The 15,155-nt window shown below is 47.5% G+C and overlaps 1 long non-coding RNA gene across 1 annotated transcript, besides 1 other annotated feature; it reads left to right on the top strand.

The window, feature by feature from the left end:
* Window positions 1-3,466: 3,466 nt before the first annotated feature.
* On the top strand, window positions 3,467-13,225 carry LOC124904538 (uncharacterized). Its single transcript, XR_007066919.1, has 2 exons — window positions 3,467-6,742; window positions 13,038-13,225. It is a non-coding gene; the product is annotated as an uncharacterized LOC124904538 (long non-coding RNA).
* Window positions 7,826-8,110: a silencer, noted in NCBI's record as "fragment chr1:228628090-228628374 (GRCh37/hg19 assembly coordinates)". NCBI's record gives its function as "represses an EF-1alpha promoter that drives an FKBP-Casp9 reporter gene in an ReSE screen in HepG2 liver carcinoma cells and K562 erythroleukemia cells {active_cell/tissue: HepG2 | K562}" and the evidence as "EXISTENCE:reporter gene assay evidence [ECO:0000049][PMID:32094911]".
* Window positions 13,226-15,155: the final 1,930 nt, after the last annotated feature.

Genomic DNA, 15,155 nt, shown 5'->3' with positions numbered 1-15,155 from the left:
AATGATTACCACAGTCAAATCAATTAACACACACATCACCTCATGTGGTTACCTGTGTGTGTGTGCATGTGTCTGTGTGTGCGGTGACAACATGTAAGATCTACTCAGTAAATTTTATGTCCATGATATGTTATTAACCAGAGTCTCCATGCTGTGCTTCAGGTCTCCAGAACTACTTATCTTATAGCTGAAGCTTTGTACTCCTCCTCACCCAGCCCCTGACTTTTTTAGATTCCATATATAAGTTGGCTCATGCAGTATTATTTGTCTTTCTGTGCCTGGCTTATTTCACTTAGCATAATGTCCTCTGGGTTCATCCATGTTGTTGACATGGTTTCCTTCTTTTTTAGACCTGAATAATTTTCATTATTATAGTGTAGTATAGCATGTAACACTAATATCTATACCACGTTTTCTTTATTCATTCACTGATGGACATTTAGGTTGTTTCTGTATCTCAGCTATTATGAATAGTGCTGTAATTAACATGGGAGTGCAAGTATCTCTTTATGACAGTGATTTTATTTCCATTGGGCATACTCAGAAGTGAGATGGCTGGATCAACAAAATTAAAAGGCAACCTATGGATGGGTGAAAACATTTGCAAACCAAACATCTGGTAAGGGGTTAATACCCAAAATATATAAGAGCTCCTACAACTTATTAGCAAAAAACAAAACCAAAACAAGAACCAAATAACCTAACTTTAAAAATAGACAAAGGACCTAAATAGGCATTTCTCCCAAGAAGGCATACATATGGCCAACAGGCATATGAATAGGTGTTCAACATTACTAATCTAGGAGGGTCGGTAGGGTGGCTCATGCCTCTAATCCCAGAGCCTAAGGTGGGAGGATTGCTAGAGCCCAGGCTTTGGAGACCAGCCTGGGCAACATAGGAAGACTCCGTCTGTACAAAAAATTTTTAAAAATCAGCGGGGCGTGGTCGTTCCTGAGGTCCCATCTAGTCCAGAGGCTGAGGCGGGAGTATCCCTCGAGCCCGGGAAGTCTAGGTTGCAGTGAGCCGAGATTGCACCACTGCACTCCAGCCTGGGCCACAGAGGGAGACCCTGTCGCAAAAAATAAATAAATAAATAAAATTCAGGAAAATGCAAATCAGAATCAGAATGAAATGTCTCCGAACACCTGTTAGAATGGCTAATATCAAAAAGACAAGAGACAACAAGTGTTGGTCACGATGTGGAGAAAAGGGACCCTTCGCACGCTGTTGAGGGGAATGTAAACTGGTGCAGCCATCACGGAAAATAGGACGGAGGTTCCTCCAAAAACTCAAAACAAGGTCCAGTCTTTCTGAGGCCCCCTTCTGCTTGCCTGTGACCACCCTTCTTCCAACCCTCCAGTTCCAGGTCCCCTCTGCTGCCCTTAGACGCGGCGTCTTCGCACTCTGGGCCTTACCGCGGCTGCTCCTCCAGGTTTGCTCTCCAACTGCAGCCTTCCCTGTCCTACGCGACCACCGGCCTCCTGGCGCCCTCTGCCTATAGTGAACACCCCTCCAACACCGTGCCATCACCTCACGTTTACTCTCACCTCCTCCTCCACTAAATTGCAAGCTCCAGGGAGGCATGTTTTCATCTGATGCGTTCACCCCAAGTACTAACAGCTATGCCTGGCACATAGTAGATGCTAAATGGATATTTGATGAACTTAAAAAAAAAATTCAAAGGATTCCTTTCCTCTCTGGTCAATGGAAGACGGAGAAGGAATGAAATTGAACTTCAATAGCTTAACAAAGGGCGGGAGGGTGGTGTGTTGACCGCCCCCCCAACCCCCCAACGCTGGGCCCCAACCCACCCCGCCCCGCCCCCACGGGATGCTTTTCTACAAGGGTGAGAGGAGCTGACTCCGGTTTGGACTGGAAGAAAGTTTCCAAGAAAATCAAATTAGTGGCCCAAACACATACCCCTTCTCCGCCCCGCGCAGTCTCTGAGATGCGTCCCAGCAATTGCCCAGGGACTTGGAGGGAGCGGGCATTTTCAGGCTGCACAGAGGCCATCTGGGGAGAAGGTGTGCGGCTGTTTTGCTGAAATGTAAAAAGAGATGTCCTTTGGAGCCCGGGACGCCGTTTCCGGCTGGCTACCCGAGGTTGCGTGCAAGGGGCGGGTCCTTAGGCATGAAAATGACCCTCCCGGCCGCAACGGCGCACAGGCCCAGGGCCGCTGAGCCCCTCCAAGCCGGGATTCGTTTTGGAGACCTGCGCGATGGAGCGGACAGCGGGACTGGGGGGCGCCGCAGTGCAGGGTGTACAGCTGCAGAGAAGCCGGGGATACAGGGGTGCGGGGCGCAGGGATAACGGGCGCAGGGGACGGTCACGGGTGCTTTCTAGTGGGTTGTGCAGGCTCAGGTTCCCAGCGCTGGGTGGTTGCGACTCTGCATAAAACGCTAAGCTTTTGAGGCCCTTATTCAAGCTCGGGGACGTCTCCCAGTTGGTCAGTTCAAAACCTCTGGGCCAGGTTGCGTTGGTGGCAGATTCCGCCCGCTAAGTCTCCGCACGCTGCCGCGGGTCTGCTCCTCCCCCGGGGTCAGAACCTCTGACGCTCTCCTGCTTTTACACGCGTTAAGTCACTGGTTTCTTGCAGCATCACGTGTTCCCTAGATACATGGGCTGAGGCTTATTCTTCCTGAAAGTGAGGGTTTTTTCCTTTGGGCTTTCCAGAGCCAGCCCGCGTGGAGAGTGACGAGTGACAGGCGCCTTTGTTCCGGGCTTGCATGGGTGGGACGCGCCCCCTCCTCAGCACTCAGCCCGGCGAGCCTGGCCCTCCCGTCGCCCCTTCTTAAGTGCATTTGTCCCGGGCTCTCGATTTTGTTTACTCTTTCCTGCTTACACAGGTACACACACACACCCAGACCTAAACTTTATATAAACAGACATGAACTTAAAGAAACAAAATCCCCCTATGTGTCAACGCGCTCCTTTTTAACAAAATCAACAAAAATTCAACACAATGTTATTTCCATCCTTTTGTTGTCTTATTAGAAACGTGTATGTTAACTTTCCTCCTTTTATAAATGGGGCATGTTCTAATTAACCATTTGTATGGTTGTTTTTAGTGCTCAAATGGTCACATTGCAGCCCCGGGGAGGTATTTTCAAAACGCTGCTCTGTCATTTTAGGATCACCCTGATTGTTGGAAGCACCTTTGCTTTTGTTTTTGTTTTGTTTTTGTTTTGCTGAGACGGGGTCTAGCTCTGCCGCCTAATCAGGCTCACTGTGGCTTCAAAACTCCTGGCTCAAGCAATCCTCCCGCCTCAGCCTCCCAAGTAGCTGGTACTACAGGTGAGTACCACAGCGCCTAATTGGTTTTTTGTTTTGTGTGTGTGTGCGTGTTTTTGGTTTTTTTTGTTTGTTTGTTTTTGTTTTTGTTTTGTTTTGTTTTGTAGGCAGGTTCTCCCTATATTGCCCAGGATGGCCTTGAACTCTAACCTCGGCCTCCCAAAGTGCTGGGATTACAGGTGTGAGCCACTGGCACCCGGCTCATCTTTGCTTTCTGACAGCAAAAAGTTATTTCAGACCTATCATGGGTGTTTTGTTTTGTTTTGAATTTTTGTTTTTTTGACTCCAGATATGGACTTAACTGCACTCCAAGGAGTTTATGTTGCTCTTCATGAAAATTAGTATTATAGACAAAATTGAAGCTGGGAATCAGCTACTTTTGTCTCTCATTTTCACTGTTCTCTTTTTTTTTTAGATGGAGTCTCACCCTGTCCCCCAGGCTGGAGTGCAATGGTGCGATCTCGGCTCACTGCAACCTCTGCCTCCTGGGTTCAAGCGATTCTCCTGCCTCAGCCTCCCAAGTAGCTGGGAGTACAGGCGCTGCGTCACCATGCCTGGCTAATTTTTTGTATCTTTAGTAGAGATGGGGTTTCACCATGTTGGCCGGGCTGGTCTCGAATCCCTGACCTTGTGATCTGCCCGCCTTGGCCTCCCAAAGTGCTGGGATTACAGGCATGAGCCACCACGCCCGGCCACTGTTCTCTTTTTTTAATGATGGTGTAGCTGTCTACCCTGTGGAGATATATTGATCTTCAAAATCACCGTGATAGTACAGTTATTATGGAAAACATTATTAAATTCAAAATAGAATTCCCAAACGATATAGCAACCCCACTGCTGGGGATATATCTAAAGGAAATGAAATCCGTATCCAGAAGAGAGATCTGCACCATGTTCACTGCAGCACCATTTACAATAACCAAGACATGGAGTTAACCTAAGTATCCATTGTCGGATGAATGAGTAAAGAAAATATGGTACATATGTACAATGAAATACTATTCCGGCCTTAAAACATAATGAAATTCCCTCATTTGTGACAACAGGGGTGAAATGAGAACATTACGTTAAGTGAAATTAGCCAGATATGGAAAGACAAACACTGCATAATCTCACTTCTATGCGGAATCTAAAGAGGTTGATATCATAAAGCAGAGAGTGGAATGATGGTCACCAGGATCTGGGGGCCAGAGACGCTGACTAAAGGGCACAGGAGGGGGCTAGGGCACGCTGACACAGGAGGAGTCAGTTCAAGACATCTAATGTACAACACAATGACTATAATTCACAGCAATGTAGTACATGAAAATTGCTAAGAGAGTAGATTTTAGGTGTTCTCACCACAAATAAATATGTGAGGTAATGTCTATGTTAATTAGCTTGATTTAGCCATTCCCCAATCCATATTCCCAACACAATACATATTTCAAAACAGTACCTTGTACACCATATATACAATTTTTGTCAGTTTAAAGAAATAAAGAAGAAAAAAAGTCACCATGATCATTGGTAGTCCTTCCATGATAATGCTGATGCCTCATCCTCAAGTGAGGACATTTGTCTCAGTCACTTCAAGCTGCTATGACAAAACACCAGAGACTGAGCAATTTGTAGACAATAGAATTTTTGATCACAGTCTGGAGGCTGAAAGTTCAAGATGAAGGTGTCAGCAGGGCTGGGGTCTGGTGAGGGTCCTCTTCTGGGCTGTAGAGTGCAGTCTTGTGGTTGCAACCTCATGTGATGGAAGGGGTGAGGCAGCTCTCTGGAGTCCATTTTACAGTGGCCCTAATCCCATCAGTGAGGGCTCCACCTTGATGACCTAATTATCTCCCCAAGGCCCCACCTCCTATGCCATCCTCACATTGAGGGTTGGGGCTTCCACAGATGAGTTTGGGCTGGGGACACAAATGTTACCCGAAAGGGGTCCCAGTCCAAACCCCAAAAAAGGGTTCTTGGATCTGGTGCAAGAAAGAATTTGAGGCAAATCCATAAAGTGAAAGCAAGTTTATTAAGAAAGTAAAGGAATAAAAAATGACTAATCCATAGGCAGAGCAGTGGCATGGTGCGCTGGTTGCCCATTTTTATGTTTATTTCTTGATTATATGCTAAATAAGGTGGGGATTATTCATGAGTCTCCCAGGAAAGGTGTGGGCAATTCCCAGAGCTGAGGGTTTCTCCTCTTTTTAGACCATATAGGGTAACTTCTGGATGTTGCCATGGCATTTGTAAACTGTCATAGCACTGGTGGGAGTGTAGTGGTGAGGATGACCAGAGGTCACTCTCATCGCCATCTTGGTTTTGGTGGGTTTGGGGCAGCTTGTTTACTGCAACCTGTTTTATGAGCAGCGTCTTTATGACCTGTATCTTGTGCTAACCTCCTGTCTCATCCTGTGACTTAGAATGCCTTAACCTCCTTAATCTCCTGGGAATGCAGCCCAGCAGGTCTCAGCCTTATTTTACCCAGCCCCTATTCAAGATGGAGTTGCTCTGGTTCACACGTCTCTGACACAAACATTTAAGCCAAAGCAACATTGTGGAAAGAAAGGAAAGACATTTCTGAAAACAAATGTGTGGTTCTGCCTGATGGTTCTGGTGAATCTTCCGCACTTGCTATGACAAGAAATTCAAGGAAAATAATAGGTGAGAGTTGTTTTGTGAAAAATGCTGCAACTTTGGCATTGTTGCTACTGCAATTTGGGCCCAGGGTCTTGCAGGTTGGGGTTTCACCCTCCTCATTTCACATAAACCCGGGGCCAGCCTTCACTGGATGCTAATTGGCATATCTACAAATAGGCCAGCCGGTCTGTGTCTCCTGATTTAGAGACTGTAAACTAAAAATAAAATCCTAAGCACCCCTAACCAACTGCACAGACACTCTGTTGGTAAAAGGGACCCCATAGAACCTTAAAAACTGAGTTTCTGGCCATGATAGGGTGGGAGTCAGACACATCTCATTATACCCCTTTCTGTTGAGGTTTAGACACAACTGACAGCATTCATGTTAACATAGAGACAGTCCAGGTGAGGTTAAGAGAATTTTTTAAAAAAACACAGACACAGGATGGAGTCTTTGTGGCAATAAGGTGACAAATTATAAACAAGACCTAAGGGTTAAGTCAGCACCCTACACTTAAAGAATAAACCATGTTTTCACTGCTGCAAGGGTTTTCTTTTACTCCAGCAGCTAACCAAGCACTGGCCTCCAGCTAAGCAACATTAAGACAATTGCAGCTTACCCAGCTCACAGAGGCTGACTCTCCGACCCCCTGCTCCACCAGCCATGATGGCAGCATTCACTGGACAAGACACTGACTTCAAGAGCTTTCTGCTGATGAGAGACCACGACCTTGGGCTAGTCCTGGCCAGTTTACAGACGCTGTGCACTTGAGCACCTTTGAGTCCTGGAAAGACCTAATTGGAATACATTTACATGTGAAGCCTCCACCTCAAGGTAAGCATGCATCACATGTCATGTGCATGTGTGTTCCGTGAACATGTGTGAAGGCTACCCTCATGGATCTCCATAGTCCTCCCGTAGGCTGTGGAATATGTGTGTTTGGCAAAGCCAAACAAGCACAGAGCTCCTGCCCCAACTCCTCCCTCCCCCAAAGTGCCTGGGCTTGGCCCAGGCACTGGGTTTGGCCAAGGCTGTGCTTCCCTGCCCGAGGGATGGCCACTTTGCAGGCTGTAACCCTCTACAAGAAGTGAAATCTGCTTTTCCAATTTATAGATCCTGTGATTTTTTCAGTTAACGCAAAGATAAAGCTGGACATTAAAGCAGTGAAAACAGATTTCCATTCAGTGCCAGCTGCAGTCAGTACAGAGTCGCCTCCATTGTAATTTGTGTAGGGGTGGCGGGGTGTCTTAAAGGGAAGGAGATGGGGTGAGCGGGGGCTCCGTGCCAATCAGATGAGACCATCTGTGTCTGCTAGTCAGCCAGGCCCAAAGTCAGGATTCTACCTTCTGGCAGAGACTAAGGCCTTCTCCCTCCTGGTTTCAAAGGAATGGCTCTGGGTTCCTCGAGGAGCCACTGCTAGATTGTAGGAGACACATGGACATCTCAACACGCCAAAGGAAGCATTCCCAGTTGTGAGCTGGTTTCAGTAAATGCTCTAGGAAAGGAAGAGCCTGGACCAGTCTTCAGGTGTTGGCTGGAATAGAACAGCAAATTCCTGCCACAGCTGCTATGGTCTGAATATTTGTGTCCTCTGATGTAGAAAAAAAACAACTGTTTTTCCTCTGATCTCACAACACAACAATGAACACAGAAGACATCTGTGACCAAACATGTGAGGATTTCTCCCTATCAGCAAGCAAGCAAGCAACCAATGTTTTAGTGGGCACCAGTTAGGTGTCCTTGAACCCAATTTAATTCCGACTTCAGCCAGGCACAGTGGCTCATGCCTTGGTAATCCCAGCGTTGGGAGGCAGAGGTGGGAGGGAATTGCTTGAGCCCAGGAACTGGAGACCAGTCTGGGCAACATAGCAAGACTCTGTCTCTACAAGAATGAAATAAGTAGCTGAGCACGATGGTGCATGCCTGTAGTCCCAGCTGCTCAGGAGACTGAAGTAGGATTGCTTGAGCCCAGGAGTTCCAGGCTGCAGTGAGCTAGGGTCTCACCACTGCATTCCAGCCTCGGCAACAGAGCAAGACCCCATCTCAAATAATCATAACAATAAAAAAACTAAATAAATAAACAAATTCTGACAGTATCTACCTGGAGATTGCATCAGATCCTATAGGTTGAGGGCTCAGTCCCCGAGGCTGCCTCTACTTCAGACACCATGGGCAAGTCCAAGCCTCCAGAACTTCTGACCAGCTGTAACTTGGAGTTCCCTCGACTCCCTCTTTAAGCTTGATTAATTTGTTAGAGCAGCTCATAAAACTAGAGAAACACTTACTTACATTTACCTGTTTATTTAAAGAATAGTTTAAGGCTACAAATAAATAGCCAGATGAAGGAATGCAGAGGGAGAGTTCTGCAAAGGTCCAAGCGCAGGGCCTTCTGACCCAGCGGAGTTGGGCTGCGCCACCCTCCCAGCCTGCAAATGAATTCTCCCTCACCCTTCCTGCAAGCCCCCACGAGTTCAGCCCTCCAGAAGCCCCCAAAACCTGTCCCCTTGGGCCTTTTATGGAGACTTCATTGGATGGACATGATAGAAGACAGCCATGTAGAAATGTGACCGGACAGAAAGTGTGGATGTAACCCCAACAGACTGAGCGGGGAACCCCAGCAGAGCCCATGTGTTCAGACTCTTCTTGGCCTCTCTGGGCAGCATCCTTCCTCCTGGGTATGGGGCAGGACCCTCTCTGAACTGGGAGTCTTATGACCCACAATCAGAAAAGGGAAGTCAGAAAATGTCCTTATGGCCAGGTCCGAGACAGAAAGGTGGGGAAAGACTACAGTTTTCATTTCTGTGGCCTGCCTGGGGAGCAAAACGAGTAGGTAAAAGGAGGGTGGGAGAAGGTCGGAGAGATAGGTTCTGTTTTGGAGGCCTGAGCACCCCAACATTCTAACAAATACTGTTGCTGCAGGACTTTTCCTTAGTTCAGCTAGAGAACTCCGGCCTGTGTAGTGCCTTCAGCTAAGGCGAACAGTGAAAGATGTGGAGGAGGGGAGTTATGAGAAGCAGTGGTGGAGAGGGCCGGCGAGTTAAGGCCTGGCATGTAGATTTCACTGGTGCTGTCTCCTGGCTGATAAGCATCTAAAATCATCTCACATGATTAAATTGATTCCTTCCTGGTGGAGAGGCAAAGACAACTTTGTCCATTTTGTCCTGCTTTTAGGAAAATAGGGGCAAGCAGAAAGCTTTTTTACATCCGTTGTTTCTCAACAATGGATTATTATTGGCCTTCAGCTCCAAATAATCCTTGTGCCAAAGTGGCATCCTTTGGGGAAGAGGTGGCATCCCTTGAGGAGGGGGTGGCACCTTTTAGAGATGGGTGGCTTCCTTTGGAGAGAGGGTGGTATCCTTTGGGGAGGGGTGGCATTGTTTAAGGAGGGGGTGGCATCCTTTGGAGAGGGTGTGGCATCATTTTGGAAGGGGTGGCATCCTTTGGAGGGGGTGGCATCCTTTCGGGAGGGGATAGCACACTCTACAGAGGAGGTGCCATCCTTTGGAGAGTCGGTGGCATCATTTGGGGAGGGAATGGCACCCTTTGGAGAGGAGGGGGCATCCTTTGGGTGGCATCATTTGGGGAGGGGTGGCATCCTTTGGAGGGGGGTAGCATCGTTTGAGGAGGGCTGGCATCCTTTGGGGAGGGGATAGCATCGTTTGAGGAAGGGTGGCATCCTTTGGAGAAGGTGTGGCATTTTTGAGGAGAGGTGGCATTGTTTGGGGAGAGTTGGCATCCTTTGGGGAGGGGGTGGCATTGTTTGGGGAGGGGTGGCACCCTTTGAAGAGGGTGTGGCATCTTTGGGGGAGGGGTGGCATCATTTGGGAAGGGCTGGCATCCTTTGGAGAGGGTATGACATCCTTTGGAAAGTGTGTGGCATCCTTTGGAGAGAGGTGGCAACCTTTGGGGAGGGCACGGCACCCTTTGGGGAGGGGTGGCATCCTTTGGGGAGGGTGTGGCATCCTTTGGAGAGGAGTGGCATCCTTTGGGGAGGGTGTGGCATCCTTTGGGGAGGGTGTGGCATCCTTTGGAGAGGGGGTGGCATCCTTTGGAGAGGGTGTGGTATCCTTTGGAGAGGTGGTGGCACCCTTCAGAGAGGGTGTGGCATCATCTGGGGAGGGAGTGGTGTCATTTGAAGAGGGGTGGCATCCTTTGAAGAGGGTATGGCATCCTTTGGAGAGGGTGTGGCATCGTTTGGGGGAGGGTATGGCATCCTTTGGGGAGGGGTGGCATCCTTTGGAGAGGGTGTGGCATTGTTTTGTGGAGGGGTGGCATCCTTTGGGGAGGGTGTGGCATCCTTTGGGGAGGGGGTGGTATCCTTTGGGGAGGATATTCTCCTATCTTTCAAGAGCAATGTACGTTGAGTGTGGAATGAAGAATAATGAATTATTATGACAAGGATTTGGGCTGTTTTAGATTTAATATGGTCCAGCTAATGCTGACTCCCCACCTCTTTCAATGGGATGAATAGCATTCCCTCACTCTTAAACTAAGAATCCCCAAATGAGAGGTGCACTAATTGCACCTGAGCACCCCCCTTTCATTTGGGGGCCCTGTAGCCACTCACAGACCCACAGGCAGGAAAGGCCAATTTGCGGTTGTGGGGTTGTTTGTTGGCAGTTCACCCCTAAATCCTGGCTAATGTGGGAATCCAAGTCCCTGATTTAGTACACTAGAGATATTTAGAAGTCTACAATAAAAAGCTGACATTATTTTATTATCCCAACTATCCTAAAAGGAACTTTCTTCTATTCACTGGCTATAAAACTCCTTGAAGTTTCAGGTTCTCATTGCTTAACAGCTTGATTTAGGGGCCAAAGGCTACATAAGGCAGATTTTGATACTTACAAAGTGACTCGCGGTTTTAACCAAATAGAGATCCAACATATGGCTGACCTGGTCCGGAAGGGAGGTGATATTTGCCTAAGAAATTATCCTCAAAACTTAGCAGCTCCAGACAACATATGCATATTGTCCCACAGTGTCTGTGTGGCAGTCGGGAATCGCAGTGCTGCCTAGTTGGGGCCTGTCAGAAGGCTACCATCAGCGCTGTCCAGGGCTGGAGTCATCTCAGACCTGACTCGGGCAGAACCTGCCCCCAGGCTCTGGCATGTGACTGTCAGCAGATTCAAGATCCAGTTTTATTTATTTATTTTATTTTTTACTTTATTTAATTTGCTTTTTGAGATGGAGTCCCCAGTCTGTTGCCCAGGCTGGAGTGCAGTGGTGTGATCTCGGCTCACTGCAACCTCCGCCTCCCATGTTTAAGTGATTCTCCTGCCTCAGCCTCCCAAGTGGCTGAGATTACAGACGTAATTATCACACCCGGCTAATTTTTGTATTTTTAGTAGAGATGGGGTTTCACCATGTTAGCCAGGCTGGTCTCGAACTCCTGACCTCAGGTGATCCACCTGCCTCGGCTTCCCAAAGTGCTGGGATTACAGGCATGAGCCACCAGGCCCGGCCAAGATCCACTTTTAGATTCTTTCCTGTGGGCTTCTGTTCTGCGCTGCACACAGCCTGGCCACCAGCTTCCCCAGACGGAGCCGCACAGGGAGAGCAGGAGGGAACCCCCAGTGAGAAGCCGAGGTCTTTCTATAACCTAATCCCACAAGTGTCATCACTGCTGCCAGAACCCACTTGTTCAAACCAGTCAGTAAATCGAGGGGTGTGGACCGCCCACAGGCACAAACACCAAGAGGCAGGAATCCTTCAGGCATTTTAGAGGCAGCTGACCACAGGGGATTCCCTCAAAGGCCCATGGCTAAGTTTGTTTGACAACTGTGATCAGGGGTCAGTTTTGCAGTTTGTGGTGATTCTATGAGATCTCACATCTATAGTGACTGTGTGCTATACGCTGAATTATGTCACACCCCAAAATTCATATGAATATTGGAAATAATATGTCCTGGCCCCCATCACCTCACAATGTGACCTTATTTAGAGATAGGATGTTCACAGAGGTAGCTGAAAGGAGGTCATTAGGGTAGGTCCTAATCCAGTGGGACTTGTGTCCTGATAAAAGGGAAATTTGGACACAGAGACACGCTCAGAAGGAAGACAATGTGAGGAGCCACAGAGAGAACACAGCCACCTGCAAGCCAAGGAGAGAGACCTCAGAGGGTACCAGCGCTGCCCACAGGGTGATCTGTACTTCTCACCTTCAGGGCTGTATGACAATAAATGGACTTTGGTTTAACCCACTGTATTTGTGGTAACGTGTTATGGCAACAATAGAAAATGAATGCAAAGTCTGTTTTAGAGGTAGCCAGGATAGTTTGGGTTAATAGAGGCTTCTGGAATTCTTTTTTTTTTGAGACGGAATCTTGCTCTGTCGCCCAGGCTGGAGTGCAGTGGCATTATCCCTGCTCACTGTGACCTCCGCCTCCCGGGTTCAAGCAATTCTCCTGCCTCAGCTTCCTGAGTAGCTGGGATTACAGGCACGCACCACCACGCCCAGCTAAGTTTGGTATTTTTACTAGAGACGGGGTTTCACTATGTTGGCCAGGCTGGTCTCAAACTCCTGACCTCGTGATCCGCCCTCCTCGGCCTCCCAAAGTGCTGGGATTACAGGTGTGAGCCACCATGCCCAGCCGGCTTCTGGAATTCGTAAGAATAGACAGAGCATACTGAAGCCCTGTCTAGACAACATTTTCGTTGGCATTATGAATTGACGGTGCACAGTTAACTGCTAAATACACATAATCTGTGTAAAGAAGGAGAAAGTTACTATATAAGAGCTTCAGCACTCCTCTGACATGAAAAAGAGATGAGTGCTTCAACCCTTTTACCTTGCTGTGCTCATCCAGGCTGTATCCATTTAGTACAGTTCCAGGTGAGGACACTGATTTCTATCGAGTAGCCTTTCTGGGATTTCTAAGACTCAGGAGAGGACATAAGATTGCATACTCTGTGTCAATAGTTCAGACTTTCAGAAAGAATGAAATTCCTCCTCACCTCCTTTCAATCAAGAATCCCATCGTAGTTACCATGTTATTATACCATTGAGGGGCAGGAGGGGGTCGGCCCGAATGTACAAAATGACAGTGACACTAGGAGCTGGTATTGTCAGCTATTCCCCTTGTCTTTTCATACTAACTTATTTTCTCTCCACATTTTTGTCTTTTAGATTCAGAAATCCCTGTGCCAACTAGAACCCTTTGAAACTAACCCTGACTATCATCAACAAGGAATGTGGCTGCTTCCATAGCATATTTGAAGTACAGAACTCAAGAAAATGCTTCCTATTGATGGAATTTGTTAGACCACCACACTTCCTGGGAATTCAGTTTTCTTCCATTAAATTCATCAGACTCAGGTGGAATTGAGTTGAGTGTCTCTCACAAGCTTTAGGCTGGCAAAAAGAGCTGACACTGCCAACTACAGCTTTTACTGCAAATACAAGCTGCTTCCTTGCAGCTGGGGAACTTAGTGGAGATGTGCACACTTGTGGACACTAGGTGCGTGATGGGGGAGCTTGTAACCCGCCCCTGATTATTCTGAACACAAACCACATCTAGCGGTCAAGTTCTCCTCCTAGGTGGAGAAATGGAGTTTGAGTGGGAGACAAGGCATTGCCTTGCAAATGTCATTTGCACAGCTGGTCCCATTTGTATGGCTTACATTCAAATGAGGGCTTAGAGAAATCCAGCATCTGATTGGATTAAAGTGCACATTTAAATAAGATGCTGCCAGTTCAGCTCTCTAATTGGACCAAACCACTGCAGGATGTCAGCCAATCAGAATGCACATACCAGCCTGCCAAGCCCTCTCCACCGCCAGAATGAAGCGGGGCTACTCTCGGGAATGGGAGGGCTTGTAACCATTGGGAAATCTGTAAATGTGACTCATTATGTTCATAAATTTTGAAAAGCAAAAATTCTTAGTTCTAAAATTATTTTTGCTAATATTGGATAGTTATCTTTTTAAGTAAATAGCAAAGTTTGGATAAAATAAATTGATCATTTCTTATTATGATAAAACAACGCACACCAAACCCCAGCGTCCTGTGTGATGATGAAATACATCCTTCCCCAGTGAGAAGGAAGCCCAGGATTACCTGGAGCAGAAGCTTCCGGAGCCTTTGACTGGCAGGAAATCTCCAGCCATCAGTGTGGAACAGCCTGAGAGTAAGAATTTCCTGGGGACTGAAGGTGTTTCCATTTTGGGAATTTTAATTTTTTTCAATTTGTGGAAAATTGAATTCCAACAGTATGGGTGTGGGTGGCCCACTCTTTTCTTGGTTTTTACCTGTAGGAACCCCACTAGGTTCTCTTGGTGCAATAGAAAAGACCCCTCCAGGCTGTGGCAGGAGGCGGGAAAGCAACCATGGTGAAGTACACTCAGGACATGCCCCCAAGAAAGGCCTACCCTTCAGGGGAGAGACACTAACAGGCTTAATCCAGCTGGGGGAGGTGTGACCCCCAAATGTCTGAGACAGGTCTCAATTAGTTTAGAGAGTTTATTTTGCCAAGGTTGAGGATGTGCATCTGTGACACAGCCTCAGGAGGTCCTGACGACATGTGCCCAAGGTGGTCTCAGCACAGCTTGGTTTTATACATTTTAGGGAAATATGAGACATCAATCATTATGTGTAATATGTACATTGGTTCAGTCCGGAAAGGTGGGACAACTCGAGGCAAAGGCAGGACAATTTGAAGCAGGGAGGGCGCTTCTAGGTCATAGGTAGATAAGAGACAAATGGTTGCATTCTTTTGAGTTTCTGATTAGCCTCTCCAAATGAGGCCATCAGATATGCATTTATCTCAGGGAGCAGAGGGGTGACTTTGAATAGAATGAGAGGTAGGTTTGCCCTAAGCAGTTCCCAGCTTGACTTTTCTCTTTAGCTTAGTGATTCTGGGGCACCAAGATTTATTTTCCTTTCAGATTTATTTTCCTTTCGAGAAAGGTATTCCCTCCACTTCAGCCACCTCTAGCCTTAAGGAGACAAAAGCAGCTAGGAAACACCTGTGAAGGTCACAGTCCAGGGGCACAGGCCAAATAAGAGGCTGAGATTTCATCATAACACTATGGAATGCTTCCTCCACCCCAGGCCGGCCACCACGCCATAAGGCTCCAGTGTGAGTACAGTCTGACAGAAAGAGCTACTGTTGATCAAGCGAGTCAAACTCCATAAAATATTTTAAGAGATTTATTCTGAGCCAAATATGAGTGACCATGGCCCATGACACAGCCCTCAGGAGGTCCTGAGAACATGTGCCCAAGGTGGTTGAGGTACAGCTTGGTT

Source organism: Homo sapiens, chromosome 1 (genome assembly GCF_000001405.40).
Source record: "Homo sapiens chromosome 1, GRCh38.p14 Primary Assembly".
In the NCBI taxonomy this organism is placed as follows: Eukaryota; Metazoa; Chordata; class Mammalia; order Primates; family Hominidae; genus Homo; species Homo sapiens.
The sequence above is the reverse complement of the archived record's forward strand: the minus strand, read 5'-3'. Positions and strand labels throughout refer to the sequence as shown.